This window comes from Homo sapiens, chromosome 10 (genome assembly GCF_000001405.40).
Source record: "Homo sapiens chromosome 10, GRCh38.p14 Primary Assembly".
Taxonomy (NCBI): Eukaryota; Metazoa; Chordata; class Mammalia; order Primates; family Hominidae; genus Homo; species Homo sapiens.
The window spans coordinates 22558049-22584485 of NC_000010.11; the positions used below are offsets into that span (position 1 = coordinate 22558049).

The 26437-nt window shown below is 43.1% G+C and overlaps 1 protein-coding gene and 1 pseudogene across 6 annotated transcripts in view; one reads left to right on the forward strand and one right to left on the reverse strand.

Annotated features, from left to right (window-relative positions):
• Positions 1 to 26437, reverse strand: part of PIP4K2A (phosphatidylinositol-5-phosphate 4-kinase type 2 alpha) — a 179725-nt gene that overhangs the window by 23195 nt on the left and 130093 nt on the right. For all 6 annotated transcript variants that reach the window (XM_006717450.3, NM_005028.5, NM_001330062.2 and 3 more), the window contains 2 exons: positions 15263 to 15409; positions 9803 to 9841 (listed from right to left, as the gene is read on the reverse strand). In XM_006717450.3, the coding sequence (XP_006717513.1) occupies positions 9803 to 9841; positions 15263 to 15409 (186 nt within the window). The remainder of the gene's footprint in view (positions 1 to 9802; positions 9842 to 15262; positions 15410 to 26437) is intronic.
• Positions 5602 to 5674, forward strand: TRP-GGG1-1 (tRNA-Pro (GGG) 1-1; annotated as a pseudogene).

Consider the following 26437-nt stretch of genomic DNA (forward strand, 5'->3'; position numbering starts at 1 on the left):
CAACCTATTTATTATTTTTTAAGTCTAATTGTAAGCCTCAATGTCAAAGACTGCTGCCGGGTGTCCTTTTGATACGCTGTCACTGTGACACTCAGAGCTGAATGCTCCACATAAAAAATACGTAGTAATTATTGTTTTATGTTAGAACTGCTTGTGTTCCTGATTTACTTGTAATTCCAAGCTCACCCAAATGAAAATAAACTTGCAAAAAAGAATAAAACCCCTTTTGCCGTGCTTGCAAAAATCTTCATAAAAATCAGCATCTATGGAACTGAAAACATAATTCACAAGTATTTCTATAAGGGAAGGAATTTTAGGTAATCCTTATGTTGGAGCTAGGATAAAAATAATTTGATGGAGTAACATATTTGGTATCAATTCTGGGGTAATAAGAGATGCTGGAGATTTATAATAAAATCAGTTCTGCTTCTTGGAACATCTAAGCCACAAATTTGATACATCAAAAGGCAAATTAGTGGATACGGATAAAGTTCATACAGAAGTAGCAAAGAAAAAGGGTGGTTTTGCACAAATAGTACATATGCCAACCTCCTTTAACTACATAAGCAGAATGTCTATACAAGTTCATGGTTTGAGAAATGATCTAAGAGGTCATTAATAACTTCTAATTTTCACAGTGAAAACAGTGAGAATGTGCACATCTGTGACTAGCATCCAGATGTGAACATCTTATAATTTTTATTTTGAATCTGTTTATGTATGAATGTGGAAAGAGAATATACCTCAACATACTTGTGAAACAGTGCTGTAAGTAAGCCGCGCAAAACTGGAGAAGCGTTAAGTTATAACTGTTAGGGCTGGCAAGACCTAGCTGTTGGCAATTTTCCCTCAAGCTAATACGTAAAAAGTAAAATTTATTCCTTTTTTAATACTGTCATATTTTATGACAACTCTATGTGGTAATGTCAAAGGTGACGGTTTGGTCTTCCTCCACAAACTGGGATATGACAGCTGAACTGCATACAAGACCTACAAAATAGGACCTACGGGATGGCTTCGTTCCAGTCGTAACAGAAGATTCTGGTGCGCAGATATCTATGGTGATAATCTAAGAAATGTCAAAGGCTGAACACTCAAGGAGTTTGCTAACTCCTCTAGATCTCTGGTTTAATACTACCATGTTAAAGATCATTATTTAATTAAGAATTACACATCTGTAGCAGCTTGGTTTAAATTCAGACCACATACTGAATTTTGGAAGTCTTCTCTCCACCCCAACTTTTTCTAGAACCAACTACGAGTTGTTAGCGTGAAAACATTCCCATACCTAACAGCAGTGCTCCACGTGTGCTTGGGATACTCTGAGTTGATTTCATTCCAGTGAGATAAAAATTAATCTGAGGCAAATGAGAGCTGATGAAGCACCATAAGCCATAAGTCATAAAGCCTTGAGGATTTTAATGCTGTCATCTGAGTGAAAATCTGGAAAGTGCTCACAAGAGTCACTGCATGTGATCCTCTCTTTTTGTCACGTGCCATGCTTACCAGTTACGAGATATTCTAAATGAAGCTTTAAAACTTCATTTCCAGAATACCCCTCATGGTTTATGGGGTTCTTATCTATATTTGCTGAACAGAACATTTTTTTCCCCATCAATCATAGCAATCACCTTAATCTATATCTGGAATAGAGAAGATTTTAGTGATGGTCAGGCCAGGACTTCTCCAAGTGGGGCCGACTGCTGAACCACATCTCTGGAGGAAGGTCCAGGAAAGCTTCATTTGAAACAAGAGATTCTCACCAACACTACAGCATGAGGAGCAATGACGCAAGCAAATCCTTTAATTTTACAAACGAGGACAAAGTCAGATGACCTATACTCAAACCCCATTAATGCAGCCCTGTGCCCCCAGGGCTGGGACTCAGATCCCCTAACCCTCTGTTTGGAGTCCTTCACCCAAATCTCCCTTTTATAAAATGTCTCTGGTCCAGAAGGTAGATGTTACTGGTGCCACCTTTAAGGTCTGAGAAAGAAGCCCTGCTTCTGCCCTAGTGGGAAACTTTCCCCTGCACTTTGGGTAGTAGGATTGGTGTCCCTAACTAACACTGGCTGGCAAAGGGAAATGATTCCCTTCTATCTCGGAAGAAAAGGAATTTTACAGAAGGCGGTTAAAGCATTAGCTGAATTGAGGGCCTAAAAAGCTTGACAACCCCCCTTTAACCGATGATCCGCCCACAGTGGAAAAAGAGGCACTTCTTAGCTGAGCGGCAAATAAAGATTTCCAGAAGGATACGCTGCTGTGCTTTTGTGTCACGTTTGGGGAGCCCGCCGCCCTGGCCACCTCACTTCAATGGCAGCCCAGATGACCAGATAGGGGTAGTAATTAATTATAATTTGTTACAATTTAAAGACCACAAAAGAAATGCTGAAAACTGGTTTCGAAAAGCATTTTTAGACGTAAGGGTATTAATGATTAATCCTCTCGAACCCTCAGTTGGTAATAGGTAAAACGTCGGAGACGGTGACAGTCACTTAATTGCTGGTGCAATTCACAGTGCCTGAGAATCGACAAGGCGGCTTTTTGTAGCCCATTATCAAAGTGTCAACAATGATTATTGCCAATACAGTTACACAAATGCCAATTGCAGGGCAGCTGTTTTCTTTCAAATGGGTTTCAGGAAGAAGGCTGTATGTTAAAAGGGATCTTCTTATTGTGACCCTATGGCTCCATTACACATACTTTACTTTACCTAATAAAATCAGACATGAGTTTTGAGAAGAACTGTGCAGGATGATGAACAAAATGCATATTTGTGTAAATCCCCAGGACTCTCTCTCTCAAGAACATGGGCTTTTTAAAGAGTCAGGTCAAATCCCCCAGAAATCAAGTGAGTCCAGTTATGTTTTCTTTTACTTCCCCAGGTCCCCTGCTGAGTCGCTCGCTAGCAGGCAGCATGCTAAGACTGTCATTTGTAAAAAGCAGCCCGCTCAGCTATAATTACTAATTTGATGTCACACTGGAATTGCAGCGCAGCTGTGAAAAGATCGACCACCAGGGAGGTTCACATTTCTCTGTCTCATTTAGAGGAGGCGAAACTGCTGGAGCCATGAATGGGAGATGCCCTTCCATTAAAAAGGAAAGAATTAAAGAATAAAACAAGTCATAGCAGCTGTCAGAATTTGACAATGGTTATTTTTTTTTAAAGCACTGTTCTGCTCTTAAAAAAAACCTCAAGACATCTGTACATGCATGTTCTGAGACTTGTTGCCATGAAAGTGATTCCATTGTTAGAATATAACTTATTTCCTTCAGTTCCATCTTCATGATTATGCTAATGCAAATCACACTAATTACATGTCAAGCTACAATCTAAGAAATGGGACTTGTCTGCACCTATAACGCTAAATATTTGAAATGACAGTTTCAAACTTGTCATCAACAAGTTAAAAGTATGGAAAACTAGAAGTTATAATGACTCATATGAAAGAAAACCTGGGAAGAATAAGAATTGAGATTACTAATTAAACTATGTCACCAGAGATTCTCTACGCAGTTTTTTTTTTTTTTTTTTTTTTTTTTCTGAGACAGGGTCTTGTTCTGTCACTGAGGCTGGAATGCAGTGGTGTGATCACGGCTCACTGCAGCATCGACATCCTGAGTTCAAGCAATCCTCCCATGTAGCTGGGGCCACAAGTGTGCACCACCATGCCCAGCTAATTTTTTGAATTGTTTGTAGAGTTGGGGGTCTCGCTATGTTTCCCAGGGTGGTCTTGAACTCCCGAGCTCAGGCTATCCTGTAGCCTCAGCCTCCCTAAAGTGCTGGGATTACAGGCGTGAGCCACCATGCCCAGCCCTCTAGAAAGATTGTTCTTTGTACCATAACGATCATTTGGAAAGGAATATAGTTATATATAATAGCAATGAATATAATATTCTTGCAAATCATTTCATTTATAAAAGGCTAAAATGTAGTAAGTGTTTTTAGCCTTCCCCAAATATTTCAAACCAGAGGTACCAGTAGATTGTTTTGATAGCATTTAGTAGACTGTTTTGATAGCATTTTCCCCCCCGATGTCTGATCATAAAAAGGAGTATTTATGATTTGTGAACACAATGAATGGTAGGCTTTTTGGAAGAGTCAAAAATCCTAACTGATCATGGAAAGAAAACCCAAAGGATGGCAGAAAAGGGAAAGCAAAGACTTTTTTTAAAAGTTAAAAAAACAAACAAACAATGTTTTTAAGAGTTCGGCTTGGCCGGGCGCGGTGGCTAATGCCTGTAATCCCAGCACTTTGGGAGGCCGAGGCGGGTGGATCACGAGGTCAGGGGATCGAGACCATCCTGGCTAACACGGTGAAACTCCGTCTCTACTAAAAATACAAAAAAATTAGCCAAGCGTAGTGACAGGCGCTTGTAGTCCCAGCTACTAGGGAGGCTGAGGCAGGAGAATGGCATGAACCCAGGAGGCGGAGCTTGCAGTGAGCTGAGATTGCACCACTGCACTCCAGCCTGGGTGACAGAGCGAGACTCCGTCTCGAAAAAAAACAAAACAGTTTGGCTCTATTAATACATTTCATTTCATCTATTACAGTTTAACAAACGTTTCTAGAGTCTACAAAACACTGCTGTATCAGAGAGAGAAGGCATGGCATGATCTCTACCGAGCCGTGAATGACGACTTTCCCCTGGGTTCGTTCTAGACGTGCTTCTCTTCTCGACACGCTCCTCCTGGGTGACCTCACCCACTTCCCTGTCTCTGCTGACCGTCCTTCCAGGGAGGATTCCCAAGCCCTTTGTTTTCAGCTAAGACACCCTGTGCACCCTCTCATGCCTATTGGATATCTCTGTTCTGACGCCACCCTGACATTTCAAATGCCTCCTCTCTCTCTAGTCTGGGTGATGTATCCCCAGGGAAATCGCTGGGGACGTGGTCGGTGACGGTGGGTGGGAGCCAGATTGCAGCAGGTGATGAAGTGAGGAGGAGAAAAGGAAATGGTGGATGTTTCTTTGGCCATTTGCCCTTTTACTGTGCATGAATGAAGGTACATTTTGATCTCTACCCTACTGTCAAGGCAGGCACACTCTCCATCATTTACCAATTTCTATGACTTTGACATTCCACATCTTCAAGCTATTTCCTTTTCCCCTTCCCAAGTGAGCATTTTTAATATAGAAGGGTGGGTGGGGTAGCTTTATGCAGCCTCTGTCTTCTGGAATAAGAGTTATTAGAAACCTCAACCACAAAAAGAAGGCTAGGGCACTGAATTCTTCCTCAGGGCAACTGTGCAGACAATTCTAATGTTTGCACAGTGTAAGACACGTGATAAAGACTGCATTAAACGTAAAAGTTTTACAAATATGTACATCTGAAAGTATGAGCGAAAATGCTCAAGCTCTTCAAATAGAGGAAATACAAATTGTTTTGCTAACATAGTATGGAAACAAATAATTTATTTCACTACTTTAGAAAAAAAATCAAGTTTTAGAATCAACTGTTTCAGCACCATATTTAACTCTGAAACAATGTTTTTGTCAATGTAGTTAACTTTTTCCTCATTTTCACAATGGGATTAACATGACTTTTTGATAATATGCCCTTAAAGGAAAGGAGAGACATGAACTCACAAACATTTACAAGGCAGTGTGGCATAGTGGTTAGAAATGTGCGCTCTGGGGCTGCTGATCCCAGGCTCAAACCCTGGCGCTGTCACTTCCTAACTGTAGGACCCTGGATGAAGTTACTAAACCTGTCAGTTAAGCAACTTCATCCACTCAAAGTAAGTAACGACAGCACCAATCTCATCTGGTGACTGTTAAGGATTACATGACATAATTCATGTACAATTTAAAACGGTCTGGCATATAGTTTGTACTCAACCAGTGCCAGTTGTGACTTCCTCTAAGCCTACCCCCTAGGGAGATGTTTGAAGGAATGATGGCTACGTGTTCATATTAGATACAGGATAAAAGCATCCTAGCAGAGTCCTAGAAAGATGAGTTCTCGGTCAAACAAATTCTATTATTCTCTTTTCATAGGAAGCTATACCAATAAAGGGACTAAACACTTTTTGGTGAGGAGGGCAGTGAACTGTGGTTCATGCCCTGGGTTTCTGGAAAGTGTGTTAAGTCCTATAGGTGCAACAGCGGAACGGAAGATAGGTAAGTGAATGTCCTGCTTTGCAGGAACCGTTACAGATACAGGAAGTCAAATACGTGTGGCTTTCCTCTCTGTGTGCCCTTGTTTTATGATTTAGGCCTCAGCAGCAACCACGCCATTAGCTGTAACTGTCCTTGTTGGCAGTGTTTACTGTCAGAGCAGGACCAAGCACTTGTTGACTGAACCTGAAGAAATCAAAATGAATGAAGGAAAAAAATCCTGCTAGTGGTAGTCCCAAGGAACTTTGGAAGAAAGTAAAAACAGACCCACCAACATGGGGCATCATGTGACTCAGGGGCTGGCCTGTCGTACGATGCTGAAGAGCATGTGTGACTCTGTACACACCCTGGCATTTCCTCTGAGGAGAAAATCTCAACAAAATTTAGCCTCTGAGCTTCTCATGGGCTAAAACTGAAATACCTGCTGAGTCTTCAGTACCTGGAAGAAACATTCACTCATGGCAGCATGGAAGTCGACAGTCACTGTTTCTGCCTCTTCTGGCCAAAGCCAGTGCCTTAGAGGGGGTTTAGGCGAAGGTTGAATTCTCAAAATGTACATTCACTGATGTACAGTAAAAGGGCAAATGGCCAAAGAAGCCTCCACCATTTTCTTCTCTCCTCCTTACCTGCTGCAATCTGGCTTTGGTCCCCACTCGCCCTCACCGACCAGGTCCCCAGCGATTTCCCTGTGGATATGTCCCTGGACAACTCTCCATTCTTACCCTACCTGGCCTCACGAAAGCATCTGACGCTGGGAAGTTCATTTCCTCTGGTTCATGGAAAATTACTAGAGTGAAAGTTTCATGAGGATGGGGACTGTATCAGCCTAGTTCCACGAAGCAGTTCTTACAATGCTTGGCAGAGTGTGTACTCATCACAGACAATCAATATCTGAGTGAGTGACCCAGTGTCTCCTGGCTCCTGTAAAAGGTGATGTTCTGCTGGGCTTGTTCTAGACATGCTTCTCTTCTCCACACACTCCTCCTGGGGGACCTCACCCACTTTCCTGTCTCTGCCAACCATCCTTTCAGGGAGGATTCCCACACTCTTTTTTCAGCTGAGAGCCACTGTGCAGCCTCTCATGCCTACTGGATATCTCTGTTCTGACGCCGCACTGACTGTTGGGGGAAGTCAGGGACCCCAAACGGAGGGACCGGCTAAAGCCATGACAGAAGAACGTGGATTGTGAAGATTTTATGGACATTTATTAGTTCCCTAAATTAATACTTTTGTAATTTCTTATGCCTGTCTTTACTGCAATCTCTCAACATAAATTGTAAAGATTTCATGGACACTTATCACTTCCCCAATCAATACCCTTGTGCTTTCCTATGCCTGTCTTTACTTTAATCTCTTAATCCTGTCAGCTGAGGAAGATGTATGTTGCCTCAGGACCATGGGATAATTGCGTTAACTGCACAAATTGTACAGCATGTGTGTTTGAACAAATACGAAATCTGGGCACCCTGAAAAAAGAACAGGATAACAGCAATTGTTCAGGGAATAAGAGAGATAACCTTAAACTCTGACCACCAGTGAGCCGGGCGGAACAGAGCCATATTTCTCTTCTTTCAAAAGCAAATGGGAGAAATATCGCTGAATTCTTTTTCTCAGCATGGAACATCCCTGAGAAAGAGAATACGCGCCTGGAGATACAGGCTTATAAACAGCCCCCCCAGGTGTGCCTGTCTCTTATGGTCGAAACTGCGGAGATGAAATAGACTTCAGTCTCCCATAGCGCTCCCAGGCTTATTAGGAAGAGGAAATTCCCACCTAATAAATTTTGGTCAGACCGGTTGATCTCAAAACCCTGTCTCCTGATAAGATGTTATCAATGACAGTGGTGCCCGAAACTTCATTAGCAATTTTAATTTCGCCTCAGTCCTGTGGTCTCGACCTGCCTCCACTTGCCTTGTGATATTCTATTAACCAGTTAAGTACTTGATGTCTGTTACTCACACCTATTCACACACTCCCTCCCCTTTTGAAAATCCCTAATAAAAACTTGCTGTTTTTTGTGGCTTGTGGGGCCATCACAGATCCTACCAACGTGTGATGTCTCCCCTGGACGCCCAGCTTTAAAATTTCTCTCTTTTGTACTCTGTCCCTTTATTTCTCAAGCCGGCTGATGCTTAGGAAAAACAGAAAAGAACCTATGTGAATATCGGGGCAGGTTCCCCGATAACTGACATTTCAAACTCCTCCTCCTGCTCTTGTTTGCTATTTCAGGGAGTGGAATGAACACCTACCTACCCAACTGCCTAAACCAGAAACTTGGGGGTCATCCTTAACCCCCTTCCCTCTACGCACACTCCCTGGCACCTCTGGCACTCAATCCCTCAGTTCTGTAGATTTGTCTTCCCAAATCTCTCTGTAATTCATCCACTTCTACCACATCCCAGCTCCGGCCAGCATCTTCTCCGGGCTACTTCATCAGCCTCTCTGACAGGACTGGCTTCCTTCCCTCTGTGGCTTCCTCTCTCCCTGCAGCAAATGCACCAAATACTCCCCACTCTGACTCTCATGCCCTTGCACCTGCCGCTCTTCCTCTGACTAACTCCTATTGATCCTTCAGGTTTCTGGACATCACCTCCTCCAGGAAGCCCTTCCTTGACCCTGCCCAGCCTGAGCCAGGCGCCCTTGCTATGTGCTCTAGAGCTCCCTGAGTGTCCTGTCCAAGTGTTCACCCCATGATAACATAATTTTCTATTTGAGGTCTGCATCCCCTGCTAGATCTTTCTGTGTGTCTTGTTATTTTAGCCCCTGAAGCTAGGATAGTAGCCACAAAAATATTCACAAACACCTCTGAATGAACAAACAAAAGTAGATTTGCAAATCTATAAAATTCAACTCAAAACTGCTATCAGTCTAAAAGAACAACTTTCAAACAACAATTTTGAGCTCTGTTTTCAAATGGAATAGTTAAGAAAAAGGCACTTCCCAAGGTGACAAGAAGGCATAACTAAGAGTATAGATGTACCCTTTATATAAGCATGTGTTGACTTGAGTTAGTTTAGGTTTACATCCAGGAAGCTACTTCCTAAATTCCTATTCAAACCAATCCTTCAAGTTGACTCTCTCTATAATCTTGCACAGTAAACTAAATGTGGCTCAAATACTACCTAAGGTCCAATAAGCCAGGAAAAGAGAAAAAGAGATGCAGTCTTCTTATCCTTAATTTCTTAGGCAAAAAATACTTGTATCATGTCTTAATAGTTGGAAAGGAGTTTGAGGCTCATCCAAGCCAACATACTACAGGTGAGAAAGCAGACTCAGCGATGCAAAGAAATGTATTCAGGGTCACATTCGGTTTGATATCGGTGAAGCAGTGTTAGGTCCTGGTTCCCTGACCCGCAGGAACGCACTCTCAGCTGTCAGTGCCATTTTCGATTATAGGTTTACTGCACAGGTGGCTGTGTTTTTCAAGAGCAAGTTGCATGTGGAATGTTCCTTCCAACCATGCTTGCAACAAATAACTGTTTCACTATTCAACAATTTGATGAAGAGAAATGAAGTAGAACTCTCATCGGGTCAATACAGTGTTTCTCGCTGGTGGCAGCAGAATGGGGAACAGGAAGAACCACAATAGCAGGGGTGGGAGACTAGAAATAAAGAGTAAAGGTGATTGGGAGTATGTGATCATGCCCCCAGGACATGGGGAGACATACAGCAAGGTACTTACCTTTTCTTTGTCACTAGCTTCTCTAGCCACTGTAGAGCCCTGAAACACAAGGCAATAATAAAAACATGCGCATGGGAGGCATTGGGTTTCACACGCAGAAAATATGAAAATGGCTCCAGGCGGAGCAGAGAGCCAGCTCAGCACCCACTCTGCTTCGCAGCCCATGCGGAATGGGCTTCTCATCCCTCCCTGACCATGGCTCTCTGTCCGGCCTGTGTCCCCTCTCTGCAGGTATTCCTGGCCACTGGCCGCTTCTCTAGCCCTGACTCTGTCTTGCTCACCTGTGTTTCTGTGGTTCTTGTCCACCTGCTGGAAGTTAGAAAACCTGACCATCACTTACTTGAGCAGTAACTTACTCAACACTGGATCAGCCCCACACTTTACTCCTTGTATCAACTGCCAGAAATAGTCAGTCCTGTTATCTTAAAGAGTCCCACTAGCTGGCTGCAGTGGGACCACAGGAGCGTTAAGTGCCTCTTTCCCCACATTACGTCCTTCTGTGGGCACATCCTCACCTGCTGACTTTTTTCTGCAATGCTCATTGTTTTCTCCCGTCTTAAGAGTTACTGATGAACACTCTTTCCTTGCTTGCTATACATCAGTCCCCCACAGCCACTCTCTGACCCCATTTACTTTGGAGATTCCTTCAAAGACACACAGTTATTTGTACCTCTTTTGTGCCAGGCCCTATGCTGAGTGCAGAGGTACAAAGTGGAGGAAAACATGGCCCTTGATCTCAGCAGTTTGTGCTCTTACTGCAGTGGTGTTCAAAACTCTGCCTTAGAGCTCTGGGTTGTCTAGCATGACCTGAGTCTACCTCGGAGGCCGACGGGGAGGCTTTAGGGGTAGAGTCCAAGCAGAGAAACTTCCCGTGGCTTGTGGAAGATTTTAATTCAAAAGAAAAGCTGGGAAACAAATGGTCTGGTGAATTCCTAAGTATGGATGACAATCACGGTGTCTCATACACAGCAGATGTCCTGTGTTTACTGCATAAATGGCTGGAGAAGAATCACAGGCCAATTTCCTGGGCTCCCTTCCCCTCCTGCACTGGACACCCCTAACTATCGTGAGGTCAGCCAAGCCACTTGCTTCTTTACCACCTGATGAAAAGACATCTATTGCCCTGGGTTACTTGAGTTAGCCATTCATTAAATGAACTTACAGTTGGCTTGGGAAAAGTGAAAGTGGCTTTTAGATTGGCCATCTGCAAAGAAATCAAAATTTTTGATTACTGGCTTTCATCGAGCAGCTCAGGCATTGACTAGGATTGAGCTTCCTGCAATTCACAGATGCGGAAACTTGAACGGAAGAGACTCCTCACATTGGGGAAGGGAGCCAAGACCAGGCTGGGGGGGTCTCCCCAGGGCCGATCTTCCATCCCCCTGGTGCTCAGTGCCCCCAGGACTGGAAGATCCGAGGGACGCTGCTGCTGGCCCAGGGAAAATGTTCAATGTTTCTCAGGGCGATTCAGAGCAGCCCAAAGCTGACCCATCAGATGGAGACAGATAATGTGAACCATTCATGAAGGCAAACCTGAGAACCCATTCTACGACCACAGTCCGAGCCCCTCTGCACAGCCATGCCCAGCAACTGTTACTTGCCATGGTCTACTTTCCTTCCTTTAGGGATTCCTGAATATGGACCAGAAGTACCTTCCTTTACACACTGATTTTTCACAACGAATGTTCCCAAATACTTTTTAAAAATGGGACATTTGTAATACTTGAGCACTGCCTATGATGCTGGGAACAGGAAGAAACTATTCTACTTTGAATTCTTAACCAAGTTCTTGGGGTGTGTGTGTCTGTGTGTGTGTGTGTCTGTCTGTGTCTGTGTGTGTGTTTCCTCTCCTACAATATAATCCACCCTGCTTCTGATTCTCAGGGAAGCTTCATCTGTATGCAAATGCTGATCATTAGCTTGGGAACAACAAAACACAAAACTCATCCAAGTTTAAATTAATTCACAATAAAAAATTATTAAAAAAAATAGAAAAGGAAGGCCAAGAGTTTAAGCCATGAAACAATGCCAGATGTACAGGTTCCATCACAACTGAGAGCACTGGCAAGAACAGAGTTTATCTATGCCACAAGCCAGAAAGGGAGATGAAACTGTGAAAAAAGCAAGGCAAATTAAAACTAGAATATCCAATCTCTAAGTATAATTTACTCCAAGATATGTTTACCAGATGCCTACTTGTCCGAGGCGCTATCTTAGGCATTGCAGGGGGATTAAAAAAAAAAAAGTTAAGTAGAAGAACATACTTGCCCTTGAGGCACTTACACATCAGGAGAATGAATGAGGCAACCAAGATTCATTAACTCCCATATGCCATGCCTCACGCTGGACACAATACATATGTATCTTATTTAATTCTCAAAACATCCCTGCAAATGTAGGTAAAATTATCCCTATTTTAACAGATGAAGAGACGGAGGGTCATAGAGGTTCAGCAACTTACACAAGGTTAACAAGTCATAAAAGAACAACATGTGACTTTAGAGGTCACTCTGGCTTTCTTCCCTGGGGAAGTCAGACAGAGTCCTGTGTGCTCTGAGCAGTACCGCCAAGGCTTCACGAAAAGAGCTGGTGCTGGCAAGGGCCCTGGAGGATGGCTGGGATTTCCCCAGGGGCAATTCCAGGGGCACAAAATGGCTTGCTTGGGCGAAGACTTTAAGACAGGACAGGACAAGGGTGTATTTGGGAAGTGGATCCAGTGTGTGGGGACTTCAGAGGTTAGGAGACAAGCCCAGACCATTTCCTTCACTTAGACTAGCATTTCTCTAAGCATGGTTCAGAACCCTGGGGTCCCAAGACCAAAACTATACAAAGCCAAAACTATTTTTATAATAATACTGAGAAATTATTTGCCTTTTTCAGCGTCTTGATATTTGTATAAATAATGCAAAAACAATGGTGGGAAGAACTGCTAGCAGTTTAGCATAAGTCAAACAGTGGCAACAGTGGGTATTAGTAGTGTTTGTGATTTAAAAAAAAAAAACAATGAAAAAAACCAGCACCATCTAAGAAACCCAGCGTCATTTCAGAAACCTCTGAAGCCACACATCCTGGTTTTTGTGACTTGTGAGCTGTGTACGAGTTGCTGAACTTCTGGCTAAGATGGTGTGTCATACAAGTAGGCATCTAGTAAACACATGAAAGCATAACATTAAATGTATCAAATCTAGACCCAGGAGTACACGTCTTTTCAATATTCTGTGCAGGAAATATACATAAAGCACTTCTGTTTATAAAGAAGGAATGATTTCTTAAGAACTGTTTTCGTGACGGTTTGAGTTATGAGTTGAACTGGCCATCTTTTTCATGAAACAACACTTTTACTTGAAAGAACAACTGACAGTCTATGTTTATTTAGATCTGGGCATGTGACTGATGTTTGCTACAAAATGAATGAAGCTGCTAGGCTCCCCTGTATGCTGGGGTGCTTGCTACATGTGGTCATTTCACAGAAAACAACTGACAGGGCTTGTGGCCAGTGATAAAATTTGAGATTCCAAGTAAAAAACTGATTTTTAAAAAACTTATATCCACCATCCTGGGCCTGACCGCTTCCCAATATGTAAAAGACTTTTCTGATGACATTGGTGGTAACACTGTTATGACTTTTTGATACTGTATAATGAAATGTGTCAATATTTGGAAGAGTCAAATAACTCAGTGAACCAATGTGTTCCAAATGGCAAGTGCATGCCTTGGCAAAATCACACATTCAAACAATGCATGCAAACCAATCAATGGATTTCGATGAAGAGTACAAAAAGTTCATTGATATGATTTCAGATTTCATAATGTAACTAAGCTTTGAGAAATTACCTCTTGTCAAGCTTTGGTGTAGTATCAAAGAAGAATATCTACAATTATCCAAAAAAGTTGTTAAAACATGCTTTAACAACTTTCCAAACTTCATTATTGTGTGAGTTCAGATTTTCTTCACATACTTCAGCGGCATAACACCACACAGACTGACAGCGGAATCAGACAGGACATTCCAACTATCTCACATTAAGTCAAGACATTACGGAGATTTGCAAAAATGTAAAACAATGCTACTTGTCTCATTCATGTTTTTGCTTTTGGAAAATAGTTATTTTTCATAAAAATGTTAACATGTAATGTTTTTCTCATTTTTAAAGAAACTACATATTCTAATATTTCTTATATTAATTTTTAATACTGTAAATATCCACAGACACAACTCACATCTGCAAAAGCTTTCGAGTGTCCTCTTGTAAGAGCGTGAAAGCGTTGAGACCAAAAAACTTGAGAACCAAATGTCAGAGACCAGAGTTTGGCAAACTTTTCTGCAAACAGTCAGTGGGTAAACGTTTTAGGCTTTGTGGTCCCAAATGGTCTCTGCGGTAACTACCAAACTCTGCCATTACAGTGCAAAAGCAGTAACAGACAATACAGAAACAAGGGGCATCGTGGTATTCCAATAAAAATGTATTTATAAAATTGGCCCAGCCAGCCGCGGTGGTTCATGCCTATAATCCCAGCACTTTGGAAGGCCAAGGTGGGTGGATTGCTTGAGCTCAGGAGTTCAAGATCAGCCTGGGCAACATGGTGAAATCCTGTCTCCACCAAAAAATACAAAAAATTAGCTGAGCATGGTGGTGCGTGCCTGTGGTCCCAGCTACGTGGGAGGACTGCTTGAGCCAGTGGGGCAGAGGTTGCCATGAGCCAAGATTGAGCCACTGCGCTCCAGACTGAGCAACAGAGGAAGACTCTTTCTCAAAAAAAAAAGAAAAGAAAAGAAAAAAAAGTCCCTCAAGTAGGATTTGGAATTCAGGAAAGTCATAGTTTTCCAACCCCTAACTTGAACATTCTCCCCTGAATTGGTGATACCAGAAGCCAGATTATGTCACTCCACTCTCAGAATTTCCAGGGGCCCCCCTTTATCTCCAAGCCTTTGAAATGGTCTCTGTACTTACAGTTCCCTCTGCCAGCAATATTCTTCCTCAGCTCATTTCCTCATCTCCTTCAAGTCTGCTCCAATGTCATCTTTCTCAGGGGAACCTTCCCTGACAGGACTATTTAAAACCCTCCCCCTCTTTAATTCTGTCTATAGCACTTACCACTTCTGGGTATGCTCTATGACTAACTTATCACTTTTACTTACTGCCTGTCTTTACCCACCAGAATGTCAGCTCCCCGAGTGCAGGTTTGGTTTGTTCATCCCATCACTTCCAGCATCTAGAACAGTGCCTGGTATGCAGTTGGCTGAATATTTAAGTAGATGTGATATCTCTAACATGTGCCAGTGTTTTTTGGTGAGGCCAGCAAGCACTTATTGCCTCACAGGAAGGAATACACTGCTACTTGTCTGGTAGCTTTAAGTGCTGAGCGGCTCCTAAGCATTTCTGATGATCAATGACAACATTTACAATGTAGAAGAGTAAGCTTGAGTTACTTTACAAAAATTCATAAAATCAGTCTCACCTTTAAGTCGTATTTCCTATACACAGACAAACGGTGGCTGAATACATTTCTTGTAACTATCACATATATTTCAACTCCATCAACATTAAGCCGGTACATGCCCAAGAACTGGGGAAGAAGGGTGATCCCATGACATTCCACTATGTACTGCATAGGAGAGAAAGAAAAAGGAAAAAAACATCCAATCAAAAGATTGCTTCCTTAGATGTAAAATACATACGCCTATGGTGTTCATACAAAGTGAAAACCTCCAGCCATTAGGGTCTTATTTACAGAAAATGACCACATTTGTACTGCTTACCAATCACATCTGTGTTCACCATCTCTACACAGAAAAGAAAATTCAATTTTATCTCCAAACAGATTTTTTTCCAACATTCCAAATGGAATTTGTATGGTCAAACCTTGGATATGATCGTGTAAGGCAAGAGGACATGTGACTATCTTTCTCAAATTCCTTTTAAGGGATATTACACTCCACCTAGCGCCTCTGTCTTCTACCCCCAAAGCCCTGACTACAAGGCTGAGGCAGAGCAACCTGGCTGCTAAAATAGCTTCTCTAACAGTGTTGAAGTCGAGATGAAAGAGGAAATTGTGGGGAGCCCAGTGTTAGAAGCTGGGAGGGCAGAGCTAAGCTTCTCAAGAGAGCAGGGGAGAAGGGGGCAACCCCTGTGACCATAGCACCCTCGCTCCTGCTCTGCCGGCAGATGGGGACTGCCTTGTCCCTGCTGGTTTCCACCAAGTTAACTGGACAAGCCCAGGGTTGACACCATTTCCGAGGAGAGTTGCAAAAAAAACACAACACGACCTTGGCTGTTTTTCATGACCAAACTCCAGAGGGCCACAAGATGGAGCCACTTCTCCCTGAGAGCAGATTTTCATAAAACGGGTCCCTCTGCACTTCCCAAAGGAAGCTTAGGTTTTCCTTCCTTTAAAATCATGGGGAAGTAATATTTCAAAAAAGCTCTATGTCCACTGACACGTGTGCAATCTCCAGGATAATAAACAGCATAAATGGTGAGATTCCATTACTGTAAACACCATACATGTTGGGCATATTCAGAGATGCTAATGATGCAATTGGAGGGAATTCTGATCCTTTTCTACTATACTGCTTGAATTTTTCATTTTCTGTTTTTTTTTTTTTTTACAATGAGCATTTTATAAAAAATACAAAAGTAATTAAAATGTCCTTTCAAACTTCTTAGTTGTAAATACTGTTAATAATCAATTCTGATAATATTTAACCACCTTAAGAATGAAAAAGTCTTTGGTTTTGATCATTAAAGATAAACAGCATTGGTACTTGATTCTGATTTTTGCCATCTAGAGTTTTGGCAAGTTTTAAAGATGCCTCTTCCCTTTCTTTTTTCTTATTGACAATAACTGAGCTATAAATTTTAATCTCATGTAATTCCTGAGTAGAGTTTCACCTTGTTATTTGAAATTAGATGAGTGAAACATTTTCTATTTCCTTTCAAAATATAATAAATTGAGTTTTGCTAATGCAAAACAGGCAGTAAATAGCCACTGGGTGAAAAGAAAATTTCTCACATCTGATCTAGAGAAATGAAAAGGGGTTCTTGGCCTCTGTAGAAAGGTGGTTGGATGGGCCTTCAAACATGGAGACTGAGGAAGTCTAGTCTCCACGTGCAGTAGAGAGAACGTAGGTTTGCGAGCCAGAAAGGTGTGTGTGTGTGTCCTGGCGCCTCCATTTACGAGCTGTGAGATCTTGGGCAAGTTACCAAATCACTCCACAGTTTAGCTTCATTTTCCAGAAAAAGAGCCTAATTCCTACCTTGAAGGTTGTTTTGAGGGTTACAGGTAAGAGTATGTCAAAATACTTCACACGGTGCTGTGTACTATACTATACTGAAGATGATAATGATTATTTTCATTCAAAACTCTGTTAAGAAATTTTAATGTTACACCTGTTTTGTGCTCCCAACTGACATACAGACATGTACTGAGTGGGGTCTGCTCCGAGGCAGTTATTTTTGAGGCCCACAAGACACAGTCCCTGCCCCAGGGGACACACCGATTTTGGTTTTGCTGCTCAACCCCTCACTGAGCTCCCATCACGAACTACCTTTACAGAATCCCGCCATTCCTCTCTGATTCAAGTTGCTGTGCAGAGCCACAGAAAGCTATGTCTCACAGCGACAAAGAACCATTATTCATGCTACAAATATGGTCAAGAAATCTTTTGAATATTATACAGCAAATCATTGACTAGTTGTCCCCCCTTAGGAAAAAACACCCATACAGATTACATTCTATACCTCCCCTACCTTAAACATTAGCTAAATTATTACACTGAAAAGAGACAGATCAAATCTGTCTACTTTGCCAGGCGCGGTGGCTCACGCCTGTAATCCCAGCACTTTTGGAGGCCAAGGCAGGTGGATCACGAGGTCAGGAGTCCAAGATCAGCCTGGCCAAGATGGTGATACCCCATCTCTACTAAAAATACAACAATTAGCTGGGTGTGGTGGTGCACACCCGTAATCCCAGCTACTCGGGAGGCTGAGGCAGAAGAACTACTTGAACCCAGGAGGCGGAGGTTTCAGTGAGCCGAGATCGTGCCACTGTACTCCAGCCTAGGTGACAGAGCAAGACGCCATCTCAAAAAAAAAACAAAAAAGAAAAAAAAAGTCTGTCTACTTTATCAGCAAGTCTACACACAGTTGTTCTCAAACGTATGGCTCACTTATGGGGCTCCTTGATGAATACCTAAAACTCCTGAGGATATAAACATGTACAAACCCACAAGTCATACCAAAGTTTATCTATTAGATTCGAGTACTGCCAAGCTGCAGGTGATATCAAAGGTTTAGAAAGCATTAATGGGTTAAAATTTTGCAGTAGAGAAAATTATACCTATTAACTGAATTTCTGGGGGGAAGCACTGGGAAAAGGGCACACTGCTGCATTTCAGTGGAGGAACATTTAACTGGGTCTGTGAATGCCTGGGCTAGGAACCTCTGTTCTCTAGCACGATGCGCTGTTGTAGGCAGATGTTGACACAAAGAGACCTGAATGAGAATCCTGGTGGATTCTCCCAGTTGACCCAGAGAATGCTGAGCACAAACTCGTAACACCAGCGGGTGTTAACTCCAAGGATTCCTACACACACCAGCTGCTGGAGGTCAGCCCTGAACCAGGGAGACTGTAGATTTACAGCTACAGCTTTAGCCGGGGTCTCACGAGCCTCAGCCACCTTACACAGCTAAGAGCCCTCCCGGTCCAGCTCCGTGTTCATTACCTGTGTGACCTTGGGACAGTTATTCAACCTCTTGGTCTGCATTTGGAAACTGGGAGGTAATAATAGTACTTAACGATTAAATGAGTTAGTTATAAAGTTTTTAGAACAAAGCCTGGTGCATAAAAAGTAGTATGGAAGTGTTATCTATCTTTTGAACCTTTTCCATTTTTATTAAACCTCAAAACCCCCTCATCACTCTCAATATTCATTCATAGAGGCTGAGAATACGGTGGCTCACACCTGTAATCCCAGCACCCTGGGAGGCCAAGGTGGGCGGATAGCTTGAGATCAGGAGTTTGAGACCAGCCTGGCCAACAGCGAAACCTCGTCTCTGCTAAAAATACAAAAATTAGCCAGATGTGGTGGTGCATGCCTGTAGTCCCAGCTACTCAGGAGGCTGGGTGAGGCAGGAGAATCGTTTGAATTTGGGAGGCGGAGGCTGCAGTGAGCCGAGATTGCGCCACTGCACTCTAGCCTGGGTGACAGAGCAAACTCCTGTCTCAAAAAAAAAAAAAAAAAAAAAAGTATTCATAGATTCACTTAAAAAATACGTATTGAGCATCCATCATATGCCTGGTACCATGAGCGGTGCTGACTTTGCATCAGGGAGCAGAGACACCTGGTTCTTGTCCGTGTGCAAGTTATCCTACTTCAGGTGGAAAAGGGTGCCATGGGAGGGGAATGGCTTGACTTCCGGTAGCCCCATCTCCCAGTGATACAGTTTGAATATTTGTCCCCTCTAAACCTCATGTTGCAATGTGATCCCCAATGTTGGAGGTGGTGCTCGGTGGGAGGTGACTGGGTCATGGGGGTGGGTCCCTCATAAATGGCTTGGTGCCATAGGGAGAACTGCTTATGGAAAAGAGCCTTCCCCTCTCCTTCCTTGCCTCTCGCCAAGCCATGCCAGCTCCCTACTGCCTTCCAACATGAGTAGAAGCTTCCTGAGGGTCTCACCAGCGACAGATGCTGACACCATGCTTCTTGTACAGTCTGCAGAATTGCAAGCCAAATAAACCTCTTTTCCTTATGAATCACCCAGCCTCAGGTATTCCTCACAGCAACACAAATAGGCAAAGACACTCAGTGCTTGCACGGTGGATCCCCTTCTGAGAGTGGTCTCTCCAGTCACACTGCGACGCATCTTGTCGGGTTCTTGAGCATCCTCCCTCTCAGTCCAGGATCCTCAACCTCTCTCCCTCCACTAGCAGCTTCTCAACAGTGCTTAAATGTGCTGAAGTTTCTCTCATTAAAGCAACAAAAACAAAACACAAAACGCCCTCTCAATTGCAGAGATGCACGGTCTGGCACCGCCTGGATCCTGGCTTGAACGTACACTTTGAGGGCAACTGGGGACACCTGATTATGCCACTCACTAGATATTTGGTGATAGGAAGGAATTTATTGGCAATTTTCTTAACCTGAGAAGTCCTTATGTTTCAGAGAAGCATATCAAAGTATTTACAGAGGAAATGTGTCTGTGATTTACTTTTGAAACATTTCTGCAAAAATAAAATGATGCAAATGTGGTAAAATGTTAATAATTGTTCAATCTAAGTGATGGGTATATGCTACCAATTTTCTGTCTGCTTGAACATTTTTACAATAAAAAGTAAAAAGAAACACAAACCCTTCTTTGACTCCATGTCTTTCTCCATCTCTGGTCTCTCTCCTGACTGGCTTCTTGGCAGAGCTGTCTACGCTTATTTTCTGTTGCTCTGTAACCCCCCATCCATTCTGCAGCTCATCCTGCTCTGGATTTTACTTTCCTTTCCCTTCAGAGCAACTGTTCCCCCTGAGATCTCAATGACCTTTGAGTGGTTAAATTTGACAGATGCTTCTCCGCCTTTCTCTCTCCTGAACCCCATGAGCAAACAGCGCTCTTGTCTGGGGCTTCCTCCCTCCCTTGGCTTCTGAGACGCTGTGTTCTCCTGGCAGTCCTCCTACTCCGTCCCATCTTTCCTGCTCTTTGGCCAATGCTTCCTCCTCTACATGCCCATTGTCAGGGCCCTGACCTAGATGTCCTCTCATCTTCTCTTCTTCACTGTGTACAGGCTACCTGATCCACACCGTTTGTTTACATTTCTATCTGCGTCTCGATAACCCCCAAACTTATGATTCTCAGTCCACAACCCTTTCTTTTGAGTTGCACATCCACATAGGATTCATCTAGTGTAATACAGCTTCCTGCCAAATGTAAGCTCCACGAAGGTGGCAAGCACTACCCTTAGCAGGACCTCATGTGTAAAAACCATTTCATATACAACTGTTGAATAAATGAATCCAGCAAATAATTAAAAAAACCCAAGATGTTTCCTACAGATGCCTACTCTCTCCGCTCTCTTTATAATTAACACCATGACCCTTACCTCCAGGTGTTACAAATATGAAAATTCTAGATTTTGAAAGCAGAAAAAAAACCTGTCATTTATGATGAAAGGGAAGCCCCAGATTTTTCTCACGATGGCCACGACAAATGAAGAACTTTACACAATAAGTAGGAAAAAAGGCATATGTCGGGCATGAAAGGAGGAAAAGAGGGTACCACAAAATAACGGTTTAAGGATGTTAATCTTAAAAAAAAAACAAGGCAGTCACATGGTTAACTTGGGGGAGAATTCGGAAATGGTCACAGTTTATCTGTTCTGGGACTATTACCGCACGTGTAAACTGTACCACGCAATGTATCCTCATTCTCCAGCATCACGGGAGAAACAGAACTTTGAGGAAAGGGGTGGAGCAGAATCGTAACCCTAGTGATATCAATCTGTCACTGAATAAGAGTAAAGAATCACATCCGATGATTTATACAGAATTCACACTTAAAATTCTCTCAACTTCCCAAAGTTTGTATGCACTGATAAAGCTGATAAATGGTGTTCTCCACAGAGTCACGTGCACAACAATTAGAGGACGTCTGCCTCCTTCCCCTCCAGCTCCTCCCTATCCTCACCCTTGGAGGGGAGGGGATCTTTGGGCATAACACTGCTTAGACATGATGCTCCCATACCAACCACAGAGGAACTTGCTGCCTTTAAGATGCTCCATTCTGGCCGGGCATGGTGGCTCACGCATGTAATCCCAGCACTTTGGGAGGCAGGGGAGGGTGGATTACTTGAAGTCAGGAGGAGATTGAGACCGGCCTGGCCAACATAGTGAAACCCCGCCTCTACTAAACATATAAAAATCAGACGGGCATGGTGGCAGGTGCCTGTAGTCCCAGCTACTCGGGAGGCTGAGGCAGGAGAATCGCCTGAACCCAGGAGGTAGAGGCTGCAGTGAGCCGAGAGTGTGCCACTGCACTCCAGCCTAGGTGATAGAACGAGACTTCGTCTGAGAAGAAAAAAAAGAAAAAAGAAAAAAGAAAAAAAAAGACAACCCATTCTGATGAATGTGGAGATAAGGGAAACAAGACCTGCTCATGACTCAAGCAGGGCCAAGATGCAGCCAAGGCCCCGAGGTGAGGGGTGGAGAGGGCAAAGGCAGGAAGGCGTGAGGGAGGGAGACTTCCAGGAGCACCTGATATGTGCCCCAAATGCTCTCAGAGACACGGGTTGTATCTTTAATGCATGACGGGGACTCCCAATTTCAAGGACTCTCCATAATTAATAATGCTGCAGTGTCTCTGTATTTATAAAGTGAGATTAGTGTAAACGTAAAACACCAAAAAAAATATTTCTATCTTATGTTGCTTCTAGGATCACAACTGTGAGCACATTTTTCTTCAAAACTTAAATATCATAGACAAATTAACAAAATAACTTGTAAGCGAATGCTTCAAAAACAGCAAGAAGAGGCTGGGCATAGTGGCTCATGCCTGCAGTCCCGGTAATTCGGGAGGCCAAGGCGGGCGGATTACTTGAGCCCAGGAGTTTGAGATCAACCTGGCCAACATGGCGAAACTCCATCTCAACAAAAAGAAAATAAAAGAAAGACAGTGAGAAGAAGAGCATGTACTGGGGGTACCACAATGCCATGCTTTTAACAACCTATTATTTGACCCGGTCATTCTCTTCTTTGTAAGAGTTTAAAGCATCCTATCTATTACCCTTTTGTAAAACACTGTTGGCTCAACCACAAGACAATCTGAGGAACCTTTGCCTCCTCTCTTCCACATGTTTAACTTCCAGATTACAAGAATGCCAAAGTTACAATGCAGTCCCTTGGGGCCACTGTTTAGGAAAGGTGCATTTCTTTCACTTTCAACCACGGTCTACAAGATGTGGCTACAAGGCAATCCTTCCCCACTGGCAAAAGGACGTCATCAACACAGTTGTCCCTTTCTGCGATGGTAATGTCTCGCTTTACAGACTCGACAGGTGCAGTGCTCTAATGCGGCCCGGGAGGCTCCTTTGTAGAATGGATGAGTCTGCCAACTCCTGTCTGCAGACACTTTGAAGTCCCAAGGCAGATGAGGCTGCAAATGGACCAAACACTGAACAATGCTGGCCGTCCCGTGTGTGGCTCAGAAATTAAGAGCACACACCAGATAAGTGGGCTTATTCTCCTGTGAGAGCACAGGCAGCATGAACACAATACCGAAGAGTGTTCCTTTCAGCGGCTCCTTGAGTAGGGCTTTTCTTTCCCCTGAGGCATTCCTCCTGGTGGCACAATGCTCACCTGTCATTTCCACCTGTCTGACTCTGCAGGTCACCTGTATCTAAGCCCTCCGCTCACATCAAACAGCAGCTCTGCCTGGCACCTGGAGCGGAGGCTTGACATTGAGCTTCCATCTGAATAGGTGCTGAAAATCTACTCTCAAACTTCATAAAAGTGAACCTGATTATCACCAATTCTTCTTATACTTGCTATATGTAGCTAAGTCAATCACACTTATTCTTTGGGGTCAGCTTTCCTATTCTCAGTGTTAAATTCACTGCATTGCATTTTAAAATGTTATTTTTGCCCAGTTACTTGGGAGGCTGAGGCAGGAGGGTTGCTTTAGCCCAGGAGTTTGAGATCAGCCAGGGCAACACAGGGAGATCCTATCTCTAAAAAAAAAAAAAAAAAAAAAAAAAAAATTAAAATATTCCTTTTATTAAGTACCGTTCACTTCTGCACTGTCATAGCTGGGCACCTCTTGCTCTTGTCACTTCCCTTCATTACTTACCACATAATAGCTTCCGTTAATTCTAAGAGTGCTGTCAGAAACTTTCCTATTTTTGCTGGCTTTTTACATTTTTCTCATCTGTAACATGCATTTCCAACACTAACAGTTTTCACTTTTTTCTGTCTTTTTTTAAAAAACAATCTGCTTACAGCTGGGCATGGTGGCTCATGCCTGTAATCCCAGCACTGGGAGGTTGAGGCAGGAGGATCGCTTGAGTCCAGGAGTTTGAGACCAGCCTAGGCAACATGAGAAGACCCCATCTCTACAAAAAAAAATAAAAGAAATGAGCCAGGTGTGGTGGCGCATGCCTGTATTCCCAGCTACTTGGGAGGCTGAGGCAGTAGGATCACTTGAGGCTGCAGTGAGCTGTGTTTGCGCCACTGTACTCCAGCCTGGGTTACAGACCAAGACCCTGTCTCAAAAAAGAAAAAAAAAAAAGTCTACTTATAAATGATGTCGTCAACAAAGGTAAAGTTTCTCCCTTCCTAATTCTCCCTCAGAACTTTTTCCTGTACTACTGTGGGCTTGTTAGAAATGTAATGCAATGATAAATTAGAGTCATGGAATTAGGCTTTCAAAAACATAAAACGTAACAGCCACCAGACCTAGGTTTCCTTTGCCCTTAGGCACTCACCGAGAATAATAAGGGTTATGAAGCCCTGATTTGTTGCTATTCTCATGGAGAATGAAATGCCATTAAGAGATTCACAGCTGACTGAAGGTTGAAGCAGAAAGGGTTCTAAGTGATGTACTGCAATAGATAAATATTTATATCTCCGCACGATAGTGTGAACCTGGGCTCCGGCTTTCAGGAATTGCTGTTATTATCATGTTTCACTCATTTTTTAAAAAAGCTTGAAGTGACAATTTAATATAGCATCAAATTAGTACTTCAATGTAAAGTCTTGTTTCATTTAATGTTTTTGAAAGGTTAAATTATCTGTAATCCTTACTGTGCCATGGGCTATGTTTAGAGATTATTCCTACAATATACTTCACATGAAAGAAAAGGAAAGGGAAAGGAAGGGAAGGAAAAGGAAGGGAAAGGAAGGGAAGAAAGAAGCCTGAAATTATGGATTGCTCTGGTGTACAATGACCAAATAAATAAATAAATGATACAACTTCCTTTGAGTGGATGTCTTGGTATGTTTGGGGATAATGATCTGTAAATGTCAGTTAATATAATTTGATTTCAAATCGTCTTGAAGTAAAAAAAAAAAAAAAAAAAAAGTAAGGATGACTACATTTAAGCAAATATAACAAATATAACAAAACAAATGAAACTTTACTGCTTTTCTTAATTAAGCTTGATAAAATTCAAGCTTAAAAGGAACAAGCATTCTTCTGTAGTGTTTACACAAATTCTTATTACTGAGATATGCAGAAATGCCTAAGTACATACACGGATGTGCCTCATTCAATTTGTGACACACCATAGTAAGGACTCATAAACAACATCATCATTAAAAATGAAGTAACTTTGTAAAAAATACAATAAAGTGCTTTATCATATGTACAGATGCCACTTGTTACAAAAAGCACAGAATGGCTGCTCCACGTATGACCGCTGGCAGGGAGCTTTGACAAGCCCAAGGCCTCCTGGAAAGCCCCATCCCAGATAGAAAGCTTAGCTGGTATAAAGGCAGGAAGGTTCCAGAATGGCCCCTGTACCCCACACACAATGGGGAGCTGGGGCCTGAGTAGCCTATGCCTGGGGCTGGGGGGGAGCTGATCATTTGGGCAGGTGCACCGGAGAGCAGGTGTGCCCAGGGAGCATGTGAGGAGCTGGGATCCAAGCCAAGGTGTTGGAGGTGCTAGACAGAGCCTGTCAGGAGCACAGGGGTACACGGACACTGAGGACATTAGCATGGTGGGGGAGTGGGCCCAGGGGCTCCCACTCCTAGCAAAACCCTTGAAGGGTGCTGACAGGGTCCAGGGCTGGGAATCCCCACCCTCCTCTTTTGCAGAAACAAAACTCTCAGAAAAAGAGCTTCCGTAAATTAGGGTCAGAGGCCTTCCCAAACATTGCAGAGGTGAAGATGAAGCTAAGAGTTCAGTAAGACTCTCAGACACTAAGGAAAGCAAGTGTAGCCACAGAGATGGGACGCCCAGATTCCCTCCAGGGAAGGTCATGCTGCCCAGCTGAGCGTGTACGGTCTGCAGAAGGCCTGCAGGGGCAGCTCCTTCTAGGTCTGCCTTCCGAGGGCAGCCTGTCATTTTGGCCCAACATAGGAGCCTCTAGGGGCATGTTCCATAGTGCCCCGCCAGGTTAGCTGAGGCTTGACTGGGCCAGCATGGCAGTCTGACTTCTCCCTCTGCCCAATCTCACTTCTTTCCTCTTCCCTACATAAGCTTTGATCCTGATCAACATCTTGACCCCAAACTGTGTCATCATCTGGTTGGGCAAGTCACTGTGTGTGAGAGTTGGCAGACCATGACAACAAATTCAGGCCCCCAGGAATTACAGAGGTGGGAACTCTCAGGAGTAAGTTTTGAATAGTTACGTACAAAACGTGTAAAGAAACAAAGGATGCAATTTCAGAGATGAGCATAAATCAAGAAACTATCAGGAATGAACGGTCAGATTTTGAAAAATCTTCTGGAAAACTTCTAGAATAAAAAAGATAATTGTTGAAATTAAAAAAAAAAAAGATTAGAACAGTTGAAGAGACACTTAGGACTGGATGATATATTTTGAAGAATTCACCCAGAATTGGGCAGAGATGTTTGGAGATGGAAAATGGAAAAGAAAAGTTAAAGATGGGGAAGCCAGGATGAGCACGTTAAAGATGTACTTGCTGGA